The sequence below is a fragment of the Homo sapiens genome, chromosome 10 (genome assembly GCF_000001405.40).
Source record: "Homo sapiens chromosome 10, GRCh38.p14 Primary Assembly".
In the NCBI taxonomy this organism is placed as follows: domain Eukaryota; kingdom Metazoa; phylum Chordata; class Mammalia; order Primates; family Hominidae; genus Homo; species Homo sapiens.
Window position 1 is genome coordinate 73,476,747 of NC_000010.11, and position 15,261 is coordinate 73,492,007.

The window sequence follows — 15,261 nt, forward strand, 5'->3', positions numbered from 1 at the left end:
TTTGTTAAAATGGGCCATTTTCTGATTTGCCTGAAGCCCTGTGACAATTTGGGAAAAGTTGACGAGGCTAATAATCAACTATCAGCAGGAGGAAGAAGAACTCAAAATAGCAAAATTCCTAAGGGAAGCAGGACAGACAGAGTCTAGAACTTCCTTCCACTCTGAGAATCCTAGCACACCTCAGAAAAAAAGGTATATTGGAAACACTGGAGAAGGAGATATAAACAACAGTAACCAACATAAATTCACCAGGTAAGGTTTCAGTATCTACTAGGGAAGGTGGTTAAAAGCATATGCTGGGAGTCACATTGCCTGGCTATGCTGTTTACTAATAATACCTTGGGCAAGTTACTTAACCTCTCTAAGCCTCAGGTTCCTCATCTATAAAATGAATAAAACAACAGTACTTACCTCATTAATATTATTGTGAGGATTAATCGATATGTCTTCAGTGCCTAGAACATGCTTAGAACATATTAAATGTGCAACACAGGTATCTATTGGTAGAAATTTGACCCCACAATTCTACCTCTAGGAATTTGTCCTACAAAAATAATCAGGCAAGTATGTAAAGATGTATGAATAATATGACTCATTAAAGCATCATTTGTAAAGAAAAAAACTGGGAACATCTTCAGTGTCTAACACAAGGAATTAATTAATTATGGTTTGTTTATTAGATGGAAAACAATGTAGATATTAAAATGATGCTACGAGTTTATATTTACTGACTTGGAAGGATATTTGGTGTAGGCATGTATGAAAAAGCAAGTTACAGACAATATTATAATATGATCCCCTTTTCATTAAAAAAAGAAAAAATGTATATATTGGAAAATACATATTGTTCTACATTTGCTGCATTTTGTTTATATAATTTAAAAAGATGGCAGGGCAATGTGGCTCACATCTGTAATCTCAACACTTTGGGAGTCCAAGGCAGGAGGATCACTTGAGCCCAGGAGTTCAAGACCAGCCTGGGCAACATAGGAAACTCCATTGCTACAAAAAAATTAAAAATTAGTCTAGGCATGGTGGTGTGTACCTGTGGTCCCAGCTATTTGAGAGACTGGGACAGAAGGATCCCTTAAGCTCAAGAGGTCAAGGCTACATTGAGCCATGCTGGTGCCACTGTACTCCAGCATGGGCCACAGAGTAAGACCCTGTCTCAAAAAAAAAGAAAAAGAAAAGAGAAAAAGGAAGAAAAGGAACCATCTACTGTTAAGTGATAATCAAAAGGTCATTTTAATGCCTCAAGTTTTTAAAAACAAATTAATACTTTCCAAATACACAAAGATTCCATAGGATATACTTGAGTCTTAATAGCTACACAAGGAGAAACAGAAGCACTAGGGCTCAAGCAATAAAAAAATCACAATATACTTTATTTAATCAGACAGAATTCAAGTAATCTTTTTTCACATGGTTTAATGCCTTTAGGGGCAAGAGAGATAAATAGCACTAAATTTTTAAGGCCACTAGTTAACAGGGCAATAAAGACCCCTCAGTCAGCTCATAAATTCCACTGGGAAAAAAATGGCAATTATAATTATATAAACAGAGTTATACAAAGAAATTTATTTGAATTGTTTGAAAGACAGAACAGGAATAAATAGTAGCTTTTCATAAAAACTTCAGAATATGCAGAGTTATTAAAAAAACCTAACACAGGTACTTGTGAAAACTAGGATTAAGTGAAAGCATCTGTGTTAACACTTAACAGCAAATCAAATGACAGTTTATGATTATTACCTCTATACTAAAATAACCTCTGTCCACATAATCGCCAAGAAAAAGGTATCGTGTATTAGCAGGTGATCCTCCTACTTCAAAAAGTTTCATCAGATCAAAAAATTGGCCATGGATGTCACCACACACTGAAACAAGAAGATTATTAGATAAGGGAAAAAAATCTCTAAAACAACAAATTTTACTTAAGTTAAAACGTATTTTACATAAGACATAGTACAAATGCTATCAAGAAATGTCTGAGAAGGAAGTAGTCTATGAACAGTCATGATTAGGATGATGTGTAACCAAGTGTTCATGTGCTCAAGATCTAGAAAAAGATGTAACAGAAATAACGAAATTTGTGGTCAGTGACAAACTGAAATCTACATTTATAAAGATCGTCTCTAGGACTCCAAGGATGTGTTTTAAGTTTCAAGATGACAAAATTACAATGGTGGCAGTTAAAATATCCATTCTAACTCAATACTTTCTGTTGCTCTCTAAATGGTCACTTTTGGTATCTGATATGACATCAAGGTATTTGACCCTAACAATTGAAAGCAAAGTAAGTATTGATCAAATTGAAGTATGGTCAACACAATTGATGAAACCTTCACAAAAGCATATTAGACTAACTTCTACACTCAGATTATTTAGAATCATGTCTATTCACTGAAAACAGGCAATCATTTTTAAGTATGGAAAATAATTTGAAATTCAAGATAATGTCCAAGTAATATTGATTTAGCATACAGTATCATTGAAAACAGTAAGTTGTAAATCCAGGCAACTAAATAATGACATAATAAAAATAATACCCAAAACATGAATAAGCTTACCTGTGATTGGAGCTTCTACTTCTATCATGGTTTTCTCTCTCCGAAGGATGGCAGCACCCTCATTGATAATTCTAAGCGCAATTTCTTCATCTACTCGACCTTCTTTCACCAAGTGGTTCTTCAGAACATCAACCCTGGGTATCCCATCCAAATCAAATACTTCTTCAGATGTCAAGCGATGTGTTGGGGGGAAAGGGACAGCTGCAAATGTTTTTAATTAATAAAAGATAAGTCACCAAAAATACATTAACTTAAAAACTAATAATTGGATCTAGATAAGACTAAAAACTGTAAAGCAGGGATTTTTCTTTCTTCTTCATTTATTGGGTAGAAGTGTTTTTCTAAATAGTAAGCAAATTATACCACTTTTAAAGCTATTTATACTAACATGTTCTTTGTTGAGAATTATTAGAGAAATGAGTTGTCTCACAAAATTAAGTTCTTTCAGGATAACCAAAACTTTTTTGTTTAAGCCAAAACATTTTTAGGCAGAACTCTCAAAATATTGTATTATAGTATTAGATATTCTTTACCTTAAATGAAGTACAATAAATATAATTTAATGCTGGGAGTAGTGAAGCATGTCTGTAATCACGACTACTTCGTAGGCTGGGGCAGGAGGATCACTTGAGGCCAGAAATTGGAGACCAGCCTGGGCAACACAGCGAGACACCATCTCAAAAAAAACCCCACAACACTTTAATACCAAATAAGCCTAACTAGAAAGAAAACCCAAATACAAGGTGATTTACCATGTTCCTTTCTAATAAGAACATAAAAACAATGTTTTCTGACCAACTTGACTATACACTTTTAGAGATATAGACCAAACACCAGATGTTTACTTCTGAAATGCAAATTAATTTAGGAGGCTTAAAATAATAAATCATAATTTCAAAATACTGATTTTTCTCCTACCTTACTTAACGTTTCACAAAACACCTTCATTCAAAATCTTTATGCATATATTCGAAACCAGTGCATTCCTTATCATTGAAGTCACTTTCTGAGTCACCTAACACACATTCTGAAAGCAAATCATACTCATTTCCACCTAAACTGTTTGAGATACAGCACTTTTTGCATATGTGTAAAATGTTACCACTGCAAATTTATCCCTGTAATTTTTTTTTTTTTTTTTTTTTTGAGATGGAGTCTTGTTCTGTCGCCCAGGCTGGAATGCAGTGGCGTGAACTCGGCTCACTGCAACCTTCGCCTCCCGGGTTCAAGGGATTCTCCTGCCTCAGCCTCCCGAGTAGCTGGGATTACAGGCATCCGCCATCATGCCCAGCTTATTTTTGTATTTTTAGTAGAGACCGGGTTTCACCATGTTGGCCAGGCTGGTGTCGAACTCCTGACCTCAGGTGATCTGCCCGCCTTGGCTTCCCAAAGTTCTGGGATTACACGCATGAGCCACTGCACCTGGCCTATCCCTACAAATTTAACCAAAAGTTCCCATTTCATCATAGTTAAGTAGTTGGTTTTTTCACTCCGCAGTACATATTTATGATTTCTGTAAGAAATCACCAACTGTACTGTTTTTAAGTGATATTTGTTGAGTGGAATGGAAAACATGAACATCTATTTCAATGGCATCTAAGCACAATTTTGAGGTCATATACCTAGGAAAAATTACTATATAGTAAGTTTTTCTTATTCCTTTTTTACTGAATCCAACAAGTAAATCTTTATGCATTCAAAATCAGCTTGGACTGAAGCAGTTTCAGGCTCTTTACTGAATAGTACTTTGTTTTTCAAAATAAAGAAAGTGAGAGAGAAATGTACATTAGGAGTCTAATAAATATAGACTGAAATGTAAGGCAGCTCCCTCTTTCCAGATTTTTTTTTCTTTTTTTTTTTTTTTTTAGAAAAATAGGCCGGGTGCAGTGACTCACACCTGAAATCCCAGACTTGGGAGGCCAAGGCCAGTGGATCACTTGAAGTCAGGAGTTCAAGACCAGCCTGGCCAACATGGTGAAACCCCATCTCTACTAAAAACACAAAAATTAGCTGGGTGTGGTGGTGCACACCTGTAGTCCCAGCTACTCAAGAGGGTGACGCAGGAGAATCACTTAAACCCGGGGAGGCAGAAGTTGCAGTGAGCCTAGACTACACCACTGCACTCCAGCCTGGTCGACAGTGAGACTCCATCAAATATATATATATATATACATATATATATCTCTGAGCATATAGTATACAGTATTTTCCTGATGCTTTAGGGTCATCATTGTAATGATCAATTATTACAGAGAAGCTTGGAAATGTACAGAACCAACTGCTCCTTTACATTTCAACTTAAAGTAACTAAAAAAAAACAAAAAAAAAAACTAGGTTAGATTCCTATCAATTACCTAAGAAAGAATATAACCACATTCTCATACCAGGAGAAAACATTAAGGAAGAACTCAATCCTTTACAAGTGAGGTAAGAACTAAGGCAGAGAGATGCCAACCATTTCTAAAAGACTGAAATCACTAATCCCTCTTTTTTTTTTTATTTGCTATCTAGTAAAATAAAACTGGACCTTGTTTATTTTCCCTTCACAAGAAACATGTATTACCATTACTTTTTACTCATCTAGAATAAGGCATTAAAGTATATTTTACCCCCAAATATAGCATGTCAAGATTCTAATAAAATAAAAGCCTCAAAGAATGTTTTTACCAATCAAAGATTAAACAAACCATTATATATGCTATAACCAAATTTGCCCTCATGGTAGAGTAATTGTTTAAAAAATAAACATTTTTAATGAATTGATTACTAAATAAATCAAGTGTTACTTTTGGGACATTACAAAAATGAGAAGGTTAAATATCTCTTACTAATAAACACAAATTTCTGAGATCAAGATAGAATCAGTTTTTTCATCAGGTCAGAGAATTTTTTTTTTTTTTAGCACTCTACTTGGGAAAAGAAACACTATTTAAAATGCTACGTACTGGCTGGATGCAGTGGCTCACGCCTGTAATCCCAGCACTTTGGAAGGCCAAGACGGGCAGATCATGAGGTCAAGATTTTAAGACCACCCTGGTCAACACGGTGAAACCCCGTCTCTACTAAAAATACAAAAATTAGCTGGGTGTGGTGGTGCACACCTGTAGTCCTAGCTACTCGGGAGGCTGAGGCAGGAGAATGGCGTGAACCCGGAAGGCGGAGCTTGCAGTGAGCCGAGATCGCGCCACTGCACTCCAGCCTGGGCGACAGAGCGAGACTCCGTCTCAAAAAAAAAAAAAAAAAAAAAAAAGAGACTCAGTCTCTAAAAAAAAAGCTGTGTTCTACATGATGAATATTTCCTATTTATTTATTTATTTTGAGACAGAGTCTCATTCTTGTCTCCCAGGCTGGAATGCAGTGGCGAGATCTCGGCTCACTACAACATCCACCTCCTGGGTTCAAGCGATCCTCCTGCCTCAGCCTCCCAAGTAGCTCGGATTACAGGCACCCGCCACCACACCCGGCTAATCTTTGTATTTTTAGTAGAGATAGGGTTTCACCATGTTGGCCAGGCTGGTCTCAAACTCCTAACCTCAGGTGATCCGCCTGCCTTGGCCTCCCTAAGTGTTGGGATTACAAGCGTCAGCCACTGTGCCTGGCCTAGATGATATATACTTCCTAACAACCAACAACATAATTCCACTAATTGCTGAATTCTGTTCAAAACATAGAACTTCCTAAAAATCCACCTATGAGACCACTCCCTACTTCCCCCTCAGCCAGACACAAGTGGTACTGCATGTTTTCACGCACACTGTGAATGCTCTACTTCAAGTCACACTGAAGAACTATAATGTATTCACCTGAAAAAGAAAGTATAAACTGACTCCATGCCACAGTTAGTTATCTAAAGACCTGTACTTTCCTACTTATTTTTCAACTCAAGGCACACTTCTACATTTCAAAACCAGCTGGGACAGCTTTTTTAAAATGTGTACAGGTTGAGTGGTAGAAAAACGTCACCTACTCATGAGTAGAGGTAGATGAAAGCTATAGGGAATCAATGTTACCATAACACTGAAAATAAAAATAGGCAGTTTCAAATGAATATGTTTTGGCTGGGCGCAGAGGCTCACCCCTATAATCCCAACACTTTGGGAGGCTGAGGCAGGTGGATCACTTGAGGTCAGGAATTCAAGACCAGCCCGGCCAACATGGTGAAACCCCGTCTCTACTAAAAACACAAAAAATTAGCCAGGCATGGTGGCCGCATGCCTGTTGTCCCAGCTACTCAGGAGGCTGAGGCAGGAGAATCGCTTGAACCGAAGAGGTGAAGGTTGCAGTGGGCCGAGATCATGCCAGTGCATTCCAGCCTGGGAGACAGAGCAAGACTCCGTCTAAAGATAAAAAATAAAAATAAAATAAATTTTAATTTATCAGCAAATAAGAGAAAAAAGGCACGTATAGTGTTGTTTTGCAAGTGGAGAACGGAGCTTCAGCAGGAGACCTGACGGGGCAAAAGATAACTGTCCAAATAGAATTTGGCCTAAAATAAGTTGCTCAATAGAGAGTTAAAATTTTTTTTTCATCAAAAACTAATTCTCTGGCCAGGTGCGGTGGTTCATGTCTGCAGTCCCAGCACTTTGGGAGGCCAAGGCAGGCAGATCACTTGTGGTCAGGAGTTCAAGACCATCCTGGCCAACATAGTGAAACCCCATCGCTACTAAAAACACAAAAATTAGCCAGGTGTGGTGTCGCGCCTGTAGTCCCAGCTACTTTGGAGGCTGAGGCACAAGAATCGCTTGAACCTGGTGGGGTGGAGGTTGTAGTGAGCTGAGATCGTGCCACTGAACTCTAGCCTGGGCAATAGAGACTCTATCTCAAAAAAAAAAATTAATTCTCAACTACTACTTTGTTTTGCAACTCCTAAAGCATTTTAAAGCATTTCCATATAGTTTTCAGGCTTTTTAAAGGTTTTGCTTTTTTTATTTCTAATTCATCTTCAGCCAACTATTTCTACTTTTTTTTTTTGAGACGGAGTCTCGCTCTGTTGCCCAGGCTGGAGTGCAGTGGCGCAATCTCTGCTCACTGCAAGCTCCGCCCCCCGGGGTTCATGCCATTCTCCTGCCTCAGCCTCCCGAGTAGCTGGGACTACAGGCACCTGCCACCACGCCCAGCTAATGTTTTTGTATTTTTAGTAGAGATGGGGTTTCACAGTGTTCGCCAGGATGGTCTCGATCTCCTGACCTCGTGTTCTGCCCGCCTCGGCCTCCCAAAGTGCTGGGATTACAGGCGTGGAGCCACTGCGCAAGGCCTATTTCTACTTTTCCAGAGTTTTTTTTTTTGCCTCCATATATACTTTTTTCTCCTAATTTTCAGACTATGTTTCCTTACTTTTCTATATTTGCGACAGGGAAAAACCAGAAAACAAATGTATATAAATGCAATATAAATAGTCAACAACTGAAATGGCTAATAATATTTGTTGGAACAACCTAAAGAGCTACAAAATCGGCTGGGCGTGGTGGCTCACGCCTGTAATCCCAACACTTTGGGAGGTCGAGGCAGGTGGATCACCTGAGGTCAGGAGGTCAAGACCAGCCTGGCCAACATGGTGAAACCTTGTCTCTACTAAAAACCCCAAAATTAGCCCGGGCATGGTGGTGCACACCTGTAATCCCAGCTACTCAGGAGGCTGAGGCAGGAGAATTGCTTGAACCTGGGGGGCAGAGGTTGCAGTGAGCCGAGATCACACCACTGCACTCCAGCCTGGGTGACAACAAAACTCCATCTCAAAAAAATAAACCAATCAAACAAAAAAGAGAGCTACAAAATCTCCTCAAAACCTAAAAATCTTGATTTGGTAACATTCATTTTGACCAAACTGTTCTGTTGAAAATCTTCCTTTTATCCAAATTTTGACATGAAGGGCATCTCTATATAGTAACCAATAATATTCGCAAGGTATTTTCACTCACATTTAATGTATGGTGGCTAAAAAAACAAGGACTGAAAAACATTTTAATTTAGGAAGTTGGAAAAAGAAACCAAGAACACAGACTGATCAGGAATTGGGAAAAAGGGGGTGGTGGTACAGAGATCTTCTTACTGTTTCTACCACTGGGCAAGGAAACCTGAGAATTAACTGATCCTGTTCCCCAATTCTAAGCAAGGACTGCCCTCTTAGCCCTATGAGGCCTCTGACTTCAACGGGGGTACAGTCTGTGCCAAGTGAATAACTTGACTCCAAAGTATCATTCAGATGCCTAAGGTCAGTTAATCTCATCATGCTTCCCATCATTGCCATCCTTGGCAACTATCCAAAATACAGTCTCTACATCTATACTTCTAAATTTTTCTCTGTATTTCTTTCCCTCATACAATTTCCTTCTTGCTGTTCTCCCTCCATCCTTTTCATTGAGGCCTTCAGAATTCCTATTATAAGATTTTGTTTTAATCTATCCCACAAACCCTACACACAATCTCTTTTTTTGTTGTTTTCTTGGCAGAGTCTCGCATCGTCGCCGGGGCTGGAATGCAGTGGCAGGATCTCAGCTCACTGAAACCCCCACCTCCCAGGTTCAAGCAATTCTCCTGCCTCAGCCTCCCAAGTAGCTGAGACTACAGGCACACACCACCACACCTGGCTAATTGTGTGTGTGTGTGTGTGTGTGTGTGTGTGTGTGTGTGTGTGTATTTTTTTTTTTCAGATGCAGTCTTGCTCTGTTGCCCAGGCTAGAATGCAGTGGCGCAACATGAGCTCACTGCAACCTCTGCCTCCCAGGTTCAAGCGATTCTCCTGCCTCAGCCTCCTGAGCAGCTGGGATTACAGGCGTGCACCACCATGCCCGGCTAATCTTTGTATTTTTAGTAGAGACGGGGTTTCACCATGTTGGCCAGGCTGGACTCGAACCCTTAACCTCGTGATCCGCCTGCCTCGGCCTTCCAAAGTGCTGGGATTACAGGCGTGAGCCACCACGCCCAGCCAATTTTTTGTAGTTTTAGTAGAGATGGGGTTTCACTATGTTGGCCAGACTGGTTTTTTTTTTTTTTTTTTTTTTCTTCTGAGACGGAGTTTTGCTCTTGTTGCCCAGGCTGGCGTGCGATGGTGCAATCTCAGCTCACCGCAACGTCTGCCTCCCAGGTTCAAGTGATTCTCCTGCCTCAGCCTCCCAAGTAGCTGGGATTACAGGCATGCACCACCACGCCTGGCTAATTTTGTATTTTTAGTAGAGACTGGGTTTCTCCATGTTGGTCAGGCTGGTCTTGAACTCCTGACCTCAGGTGATCCACCCACCTCAGCCTCCCAAAGTGCTGGGATTACAGGCGTGAGCCACCGCGCTTGGCCTCTCTCTTCTTTAGCTCTACACAGAATACTGTCTTCATCTCTCTAGTTTAATTACATCTTGGGTCTCCTGAAGGACAACACTTATCAAATTCTTTTTTCAAAGTGGATGGTGCTCATTTTTCCGCATTCCACTAATCTCAGTGGAGGCTTCAGCATTCTCTTAGCTCCGCATTAGCACTTCCAACATCATCTCTCCACTAAGGGAAAAAAAATGCCTCCTCCTTTGAGATTCATGCCTTCTGGCTAGTTTACCCTTGTCCCTGCTATCTATTAAACTAATCATAGGCTGGGTGCCGTGGCTTAAATCTGTAATCCTAGCATTTTGGGAGGCCAAGGCGGGTGGATTACCTGAGGTCAGGAGTTTCAGACCAGCCTGGCCAACATGGTGAAACCCATCTGTACTAAAAATACAAAAATTAGCTGGGCATGGTGTCGGGCTCCTATAATCCTAACTACTGGGGAGGCTGAGGCACGAGAATTGCTTGAACCTTGGAAGCAGAGGTTGTAGTAAGCCGGGATTGGGCCACTGTACTCCCGCCTGGGCGAGAGTGAGACTTTCTCTCAAAAGAAAACTAGTCATCATAGGCTCAAGTTTCTGGCCCACAAGTCTTATCCATTCTAAGTTCCACCATTATCAAAACCTATCTAAAACTTAAGAACTGGCCAGGTGCAGTGGCTCATGCCTGTAATCCCAGTACTTTGGGAGGTCAAGGTGGGTATATCGCTTGAGGTCAGGAGTTTGAGAACAGCCTGGCCAACATGGCGAAATCCCGTCTCTACTAAAAATACAAAAATTAGCGGGGCGTGGTGGCAGATGCCTATAATCCCAGCTACTTGGGAGGCTGAGGCAGGAGAGTTGCTTGAACCTGGGAGGCAGAGGTTGCAGTGAGCCGAGATCATGCCACTGTACTCCAGCCAGGGCAACAGAGTGAGACTCCATCTCAAAAAAAAACCAAAACCAAAAAAAAAAAAAAAAAAAACAAACAGGAAAAACATAGGTATTAAGAAATGTTTACAGAATTAATGATTATAGTTTCCAAAATACTTGTTTAACGACACTAATTTATGTAGCAATGACAATATATTTATAGTGTTTTATTCATAGTTGACCAAGTACTTTCACATACATAATCCTACATGATTCCCAGGGACATCCTTTGAGTTTGGTCAGGCAAGTTTTTGTTTTTTTTTTTTCCACAGAGTCTCGCTCTGTTGCCCCAGTTGGAGTGCAATGGTGAGATCTCAGCTCATGGCAACCCCTGCCTCCCAGGTTCAAGCGATTCTCCCTACCTCAGCCTCTCGAGTAGCTGGGATTACAGGCGCCCACCATCACACCCGGCTAATTAGTATATTTTTAATAGAGACGGGGTTTCACCATGTTGGCCAGGCTGGTCTCGAACATATGACCTCAAGTGATCCGCCCGCCTCCACCTCCCAAAGTGCTGGGGTTAGGGTCAGGCAAGTTTTATCTCCCATTTCACAAATGATAGATAACAGGTTCAGAGACATTAAGTTGCTTCTCCAGGGGTTTCACTAGTAAGAAGTAGAGCCATAGTTGAAATTGAAGTCTTCAGAATGCTGCTCCTGTAGCATATGTCTTTATACCAACACAAGGACAATTTTCTTTTGACAAAAGGAGACATCAAAAGGCTGATCATGGCTGGGCGTGGTGGCTCACACCTGTAACTGCAGCACTTTGGGAGGCCAAGGCAGGACAGTCACTGGAGCCCAGGAATTTGAGACCAATCTGGGCAACATAGTGAGACCTCTGTCTCCATAAAAAATAAACAAAATTAGCCAGGCATGGTGGTGTGTGCCTGTAGTCCCAGCTACTTGGGAGGCTGAGTTGGGGGATCGCTTGAGCCCAGAAGTTTGAACCTGCAGTGAGCTATGATCATGGCGCTGCACTACAGCCTGGGTGACAGAGCAAGATCCTGTCTTGAGGGTTAAAAAAAAAAAAAAAAAAAAGCCTCATCATGAAGAATGATATAACCATTTGCTTGCCAGGAGTAGAAGTATGGATTGGCCACATGCTTTAAGGAAAGATTCAATAAATCCAACAGCATTGTCTTCAAAATTTCAAGGTATCCATTGGGTCTCTTTTAATTTGTGGTGGTTTTTAAATATACCTTTCCCTCAAAATTGGCTCCCCTTCCTGGCTTACACCTGTTAAGGTATCACCATTCTCTATCACTCACACTTAATGTCATTGTTCTCTTTCTGAACTCTAAGTCCTATTGATTCTTCAAATTCAATTTTCTTAAATCTCCACTGTTGCAATACTAGTTCAAGTTCTTATCATTTACTAGAAAAATCTCTTCTTCCTCTTTGACTGAACAAAGTAGTAAATTAACCTACTCAAAAACTTGGGGTAGTTTCTTAATGACTAAAGAATAAAGAAAAAGAAAACTTTGGATCTTATTTTCAAGGTTCTTCTCAATTTAACCATTCTCAGTCTTTTACATATCATTCCAATCTTTGCATCTAACTACAATTGCCCAATTTAATCTAGCCCTAAAGCAAAATTATTCTGATTATTGTTTCCTAAAAAACTGTTGCTCACCTATTTCACTTCCATACTCAATCACTCATCCAATATACTTACCTTCTAATATTAGTAGGAATTTGTGTCGTATCTAGTTTTTCATGCCTTGGTCATCCCTCACTTGGACTACTCCATTAATCTTCTAATTAGACAACCTGCTTTAAGCTTCTTGCCCTCCAATAATTTGTTGCACACAATATGGCCAGAATTAGCCATCAAAAAACAAGATACTGGGTCACTATTCTACTTTAAAACCTTCAATAATAATAATAATAATAATAATGGTGATGGTTACCATTGGTTGAGTACTTACCATGTGCCAGGCCAGGAACTGTGGTACCTACTTTATATGCACGGTCTCTATTAATTCTCCAAAAACCCTATAATAAGATTTTATTAGCTCTACTTTACAGATAAGAAAATTAAGGCTTGGAGATGTTAAGTATCTTGTCCATGGCAAGAAGGTTATTAAGTAGTAGAGCTAGGATTCAAACCCAGGCAGTCTGACTCCAGAGCTTGTGCTTTTAATCATCCAGGTACTATATACTGCTATACTGCTTAACAGCTTAAGTTTTAGCTCCTCAACTTGTAATACAAAAGATCTTTTCTAACTTCATTCCTGTCACTCCTTGCCAAGCACTTCACATACTTTTGCCATACATTTCATGCTTTTTTCAAACTCCATGCCTTTCTGCTTCTGTTACACCTACTCTAGCCCCACTTTCTGGTGAAATTCTACTCATCCTTCAAGGACTACCTCGAAACATTATCCTCTCAGTGACGCTTTCCCTCAAAGTAAGATAGCCAATCCCTTCTTTACAGCTCCAGTAGCGCTTTGTACCAAATTCATTACATTATTTATTTATAATAGTGTCTCCCCCACTAGAATGCCGGCACTACAAGAGAATCTATCTTACTTAATATCCTATTCACTTCTGTATCATCAATGCCTAGCACAATGCCTGGTACAAAGCTGGTACTCAATAAACACTGCACAAATAAATGGTCCCAATCCTCTATTTTAATCCTAACCATCCTTCAAGGCCCCTTTGCTTCTACACAAGCCCTTCCTAGACCATTCCAGTCCAGAGTCATCACTACCTCCTTTGAACTGACAACTTGCGGGCTCAGCAACTTACCTGGCAATTATTAACTATACCTGTCCTTATGTCATATATTGTTAATTTTTCATGAATATTTATTCATGAACCAAGTCTGTATTTTATATTTTGTACTTTTGTTGTTCTCCTACAGTTTTGTGATACAGCAGACATTTAATAAATATTTGCTATTTCACGACTGTGATGTTCCAAAATAAATTTTACATACCATACACAGACGATGCCCAATTAGCTTCAGCTTATTTCATCTCTGTGTATAAAAAACATTTTTTATGGTGAAATGAGGTCATATGATTGGCACGCTTTGTTTAATAAATCAAGGTCCTTTTACCAAACTTTTCCTTACAACTCTTGCCAATTCATTCAATAGCTCTGGAACCTGAAGCTTTTGCCTCACTACTAAGCTGTATTTCCAACTTGGCATTTTCCTTTTAAGGTAACTTGTTACCATAGTGTTCCCTCTCCCTCTCCCTCTCACCCCATCCCCTCACACTCTTTTTCTCTCTCTCTTTCTGTTCCTTTGCTTTCACTAGGACACATGGTACTGAAGATTTATTTTATTTATTTATTTTTATTTATTTGAGACGGAATATCGCTCTGTCACCCAGGCAGGGTGCAGTGGCACAATCTCGGCTCACTGCAGCCTCCACTTCTCAGGTTCAAGTGATTCTCCTGCCTCAGCCTCCCAAGTAGTTAGGATTACAGGTGCGTGCCACCACACCCTGCTAATTTTTGTTTGTTTGTTTTTATTGTTTTTTTTTTTTTTTTTTTTTTTTTTTTTTGACAGTCTTGCTCTGTCGCCCAGGCTGGAGTGCAGTGGCATGAACTCGGCTCACTGCAATCTCCGCCTCGCAGGTTCAAGCGATTCTCCTGCCTCAGCCTCCCGAGTAGCTGGGATTACAGGCGTGTACCACCACACCAGGCTAATTTTTGTATTTTTAGTAGAGACGGGGTTTCACCATGTTGGTCAGGCTGGTCTCGAACTCCTGATCTCGTGATCCACCTGCCTCAGCCTCCCAAAGTGCTGGGATTACAGGCGTGAGCCACTGTGCCCAGCCAAATTTTTGTATTTTTAGTAGAGATGGGGTTTCACCATGTTGGCCAGGCTAGTCTCAAACTCCTGACCTCAAGTGATCCCCCCGCCTCGGCCTCCCAAAGTGCTGGGATTACAGGCATGAACCACTGCTGCGCCTGGCCTGAAGATTTATTTTAGTATGGTTAACAGTAATGAGAGTGGAAAGTAAAAGAAAAATAATTTCTAGTTCTTTTTACACAGATAAGTCCACAAAATAGACTTTGTAAACAAAAATTAAAATTCAAGCTGCTTTAAAATATAATGAAATAGAACTAGCAAGAAACACTGAAGTAGCTATGTCACACCAAGGCTATATGGGTTATCTGAAAATAAGTAATCTGGCTAGGCACGGTGGCTCATGCCTATAATCCCAGCATTTTGGGAGGCCAGGGTGGGTGGATCACCTGAGGTCAGGAGATCGAGACCAGCCTGACCAACATGGAGAAATGTCGTCTCTACTAAAAATACAAAATTAGCCGGGCGTGGTGGCACATGCCTGTAATCCCAGCTACTTGGGAGGTTGAGGCAGGAGAATCGTTTGAACCCGGGAGGTGGAGGTTGCAGTGAGCCGAGATTGCGCCATTGCACTCCAGTCTAGGCAAGAAGAGCGAAACTCCATCTCAAAAATAAATAAATAAATAAATAAATAAATAAACAAAAAG

At 40.3% G+C, this 15,261-nt stretch overlaps 1 protein-coding gene across 15 annotated transcripts in view, besides 2 other annotated features; it reads right to left on the reverse strand.

Moving 5' to 3' along the window:
• The window catches only part of PPP3CB (protein phosphatase 3 catalytic subunit beta), a 59,592-nt gene that overhangs the window by 40,314 nt on the left and 4,017 nt on the right, over positions 1-15,261 (reverse strand). For 12 of the 15 annotated variants that reach the window (XM_005269944.2, NM_021132.4, NM_001142354.3 and 9 more), the window contains exons 2-3: positions 2,571-2,771; positions 1,753-1,877 (exon numbers count right to left, since the gene is read on the reverse strand). In XM_005269944.2, coding sequence (XP_005270001.1) covers positions 1,753-1,877; positions 2,571-2,771 — 326 coding nt within the window. Of the gene's footprint in view, positions 1-411; positions 466-1,752; positions 1,878-2,570; positions 2,772-3,103; positions 3,223-15,261 lie in introns of all 15 variants that reach the window. The other 3 variants (XM_047425430.1, NM_001289969.2, NM_001289968.2) reach the window with 2 other exon arrangements.
• Positions 1,911-2,111: a silencer, noted in NCBI's record as "peak1010 fragment used in MPRA reporter construct". NCBI's record gives its function as "represses an SCP1 promoter by STARR-seq MPRAs in K562 erythroleukemia cells {active_cell/tissue: K562}" and the evidence as "EXISTENCE:reporter gene assay evidence [ECO:0000049][PMID:32103011]".
• Positions 3,471-3,671: a silencer, noted in NCBI's record as "peak1011 fragment used in MPRA reporter construct". NCBI's record gives its function as "represses an SCP1 promoter by STARR-seq MPRAs in K562 erythroleukemia cells {active_cell/tissue: K562}" and the evidence as "EXISTENCE:reporter gene assay evidence [ECO:0000049][PMID:32103011]".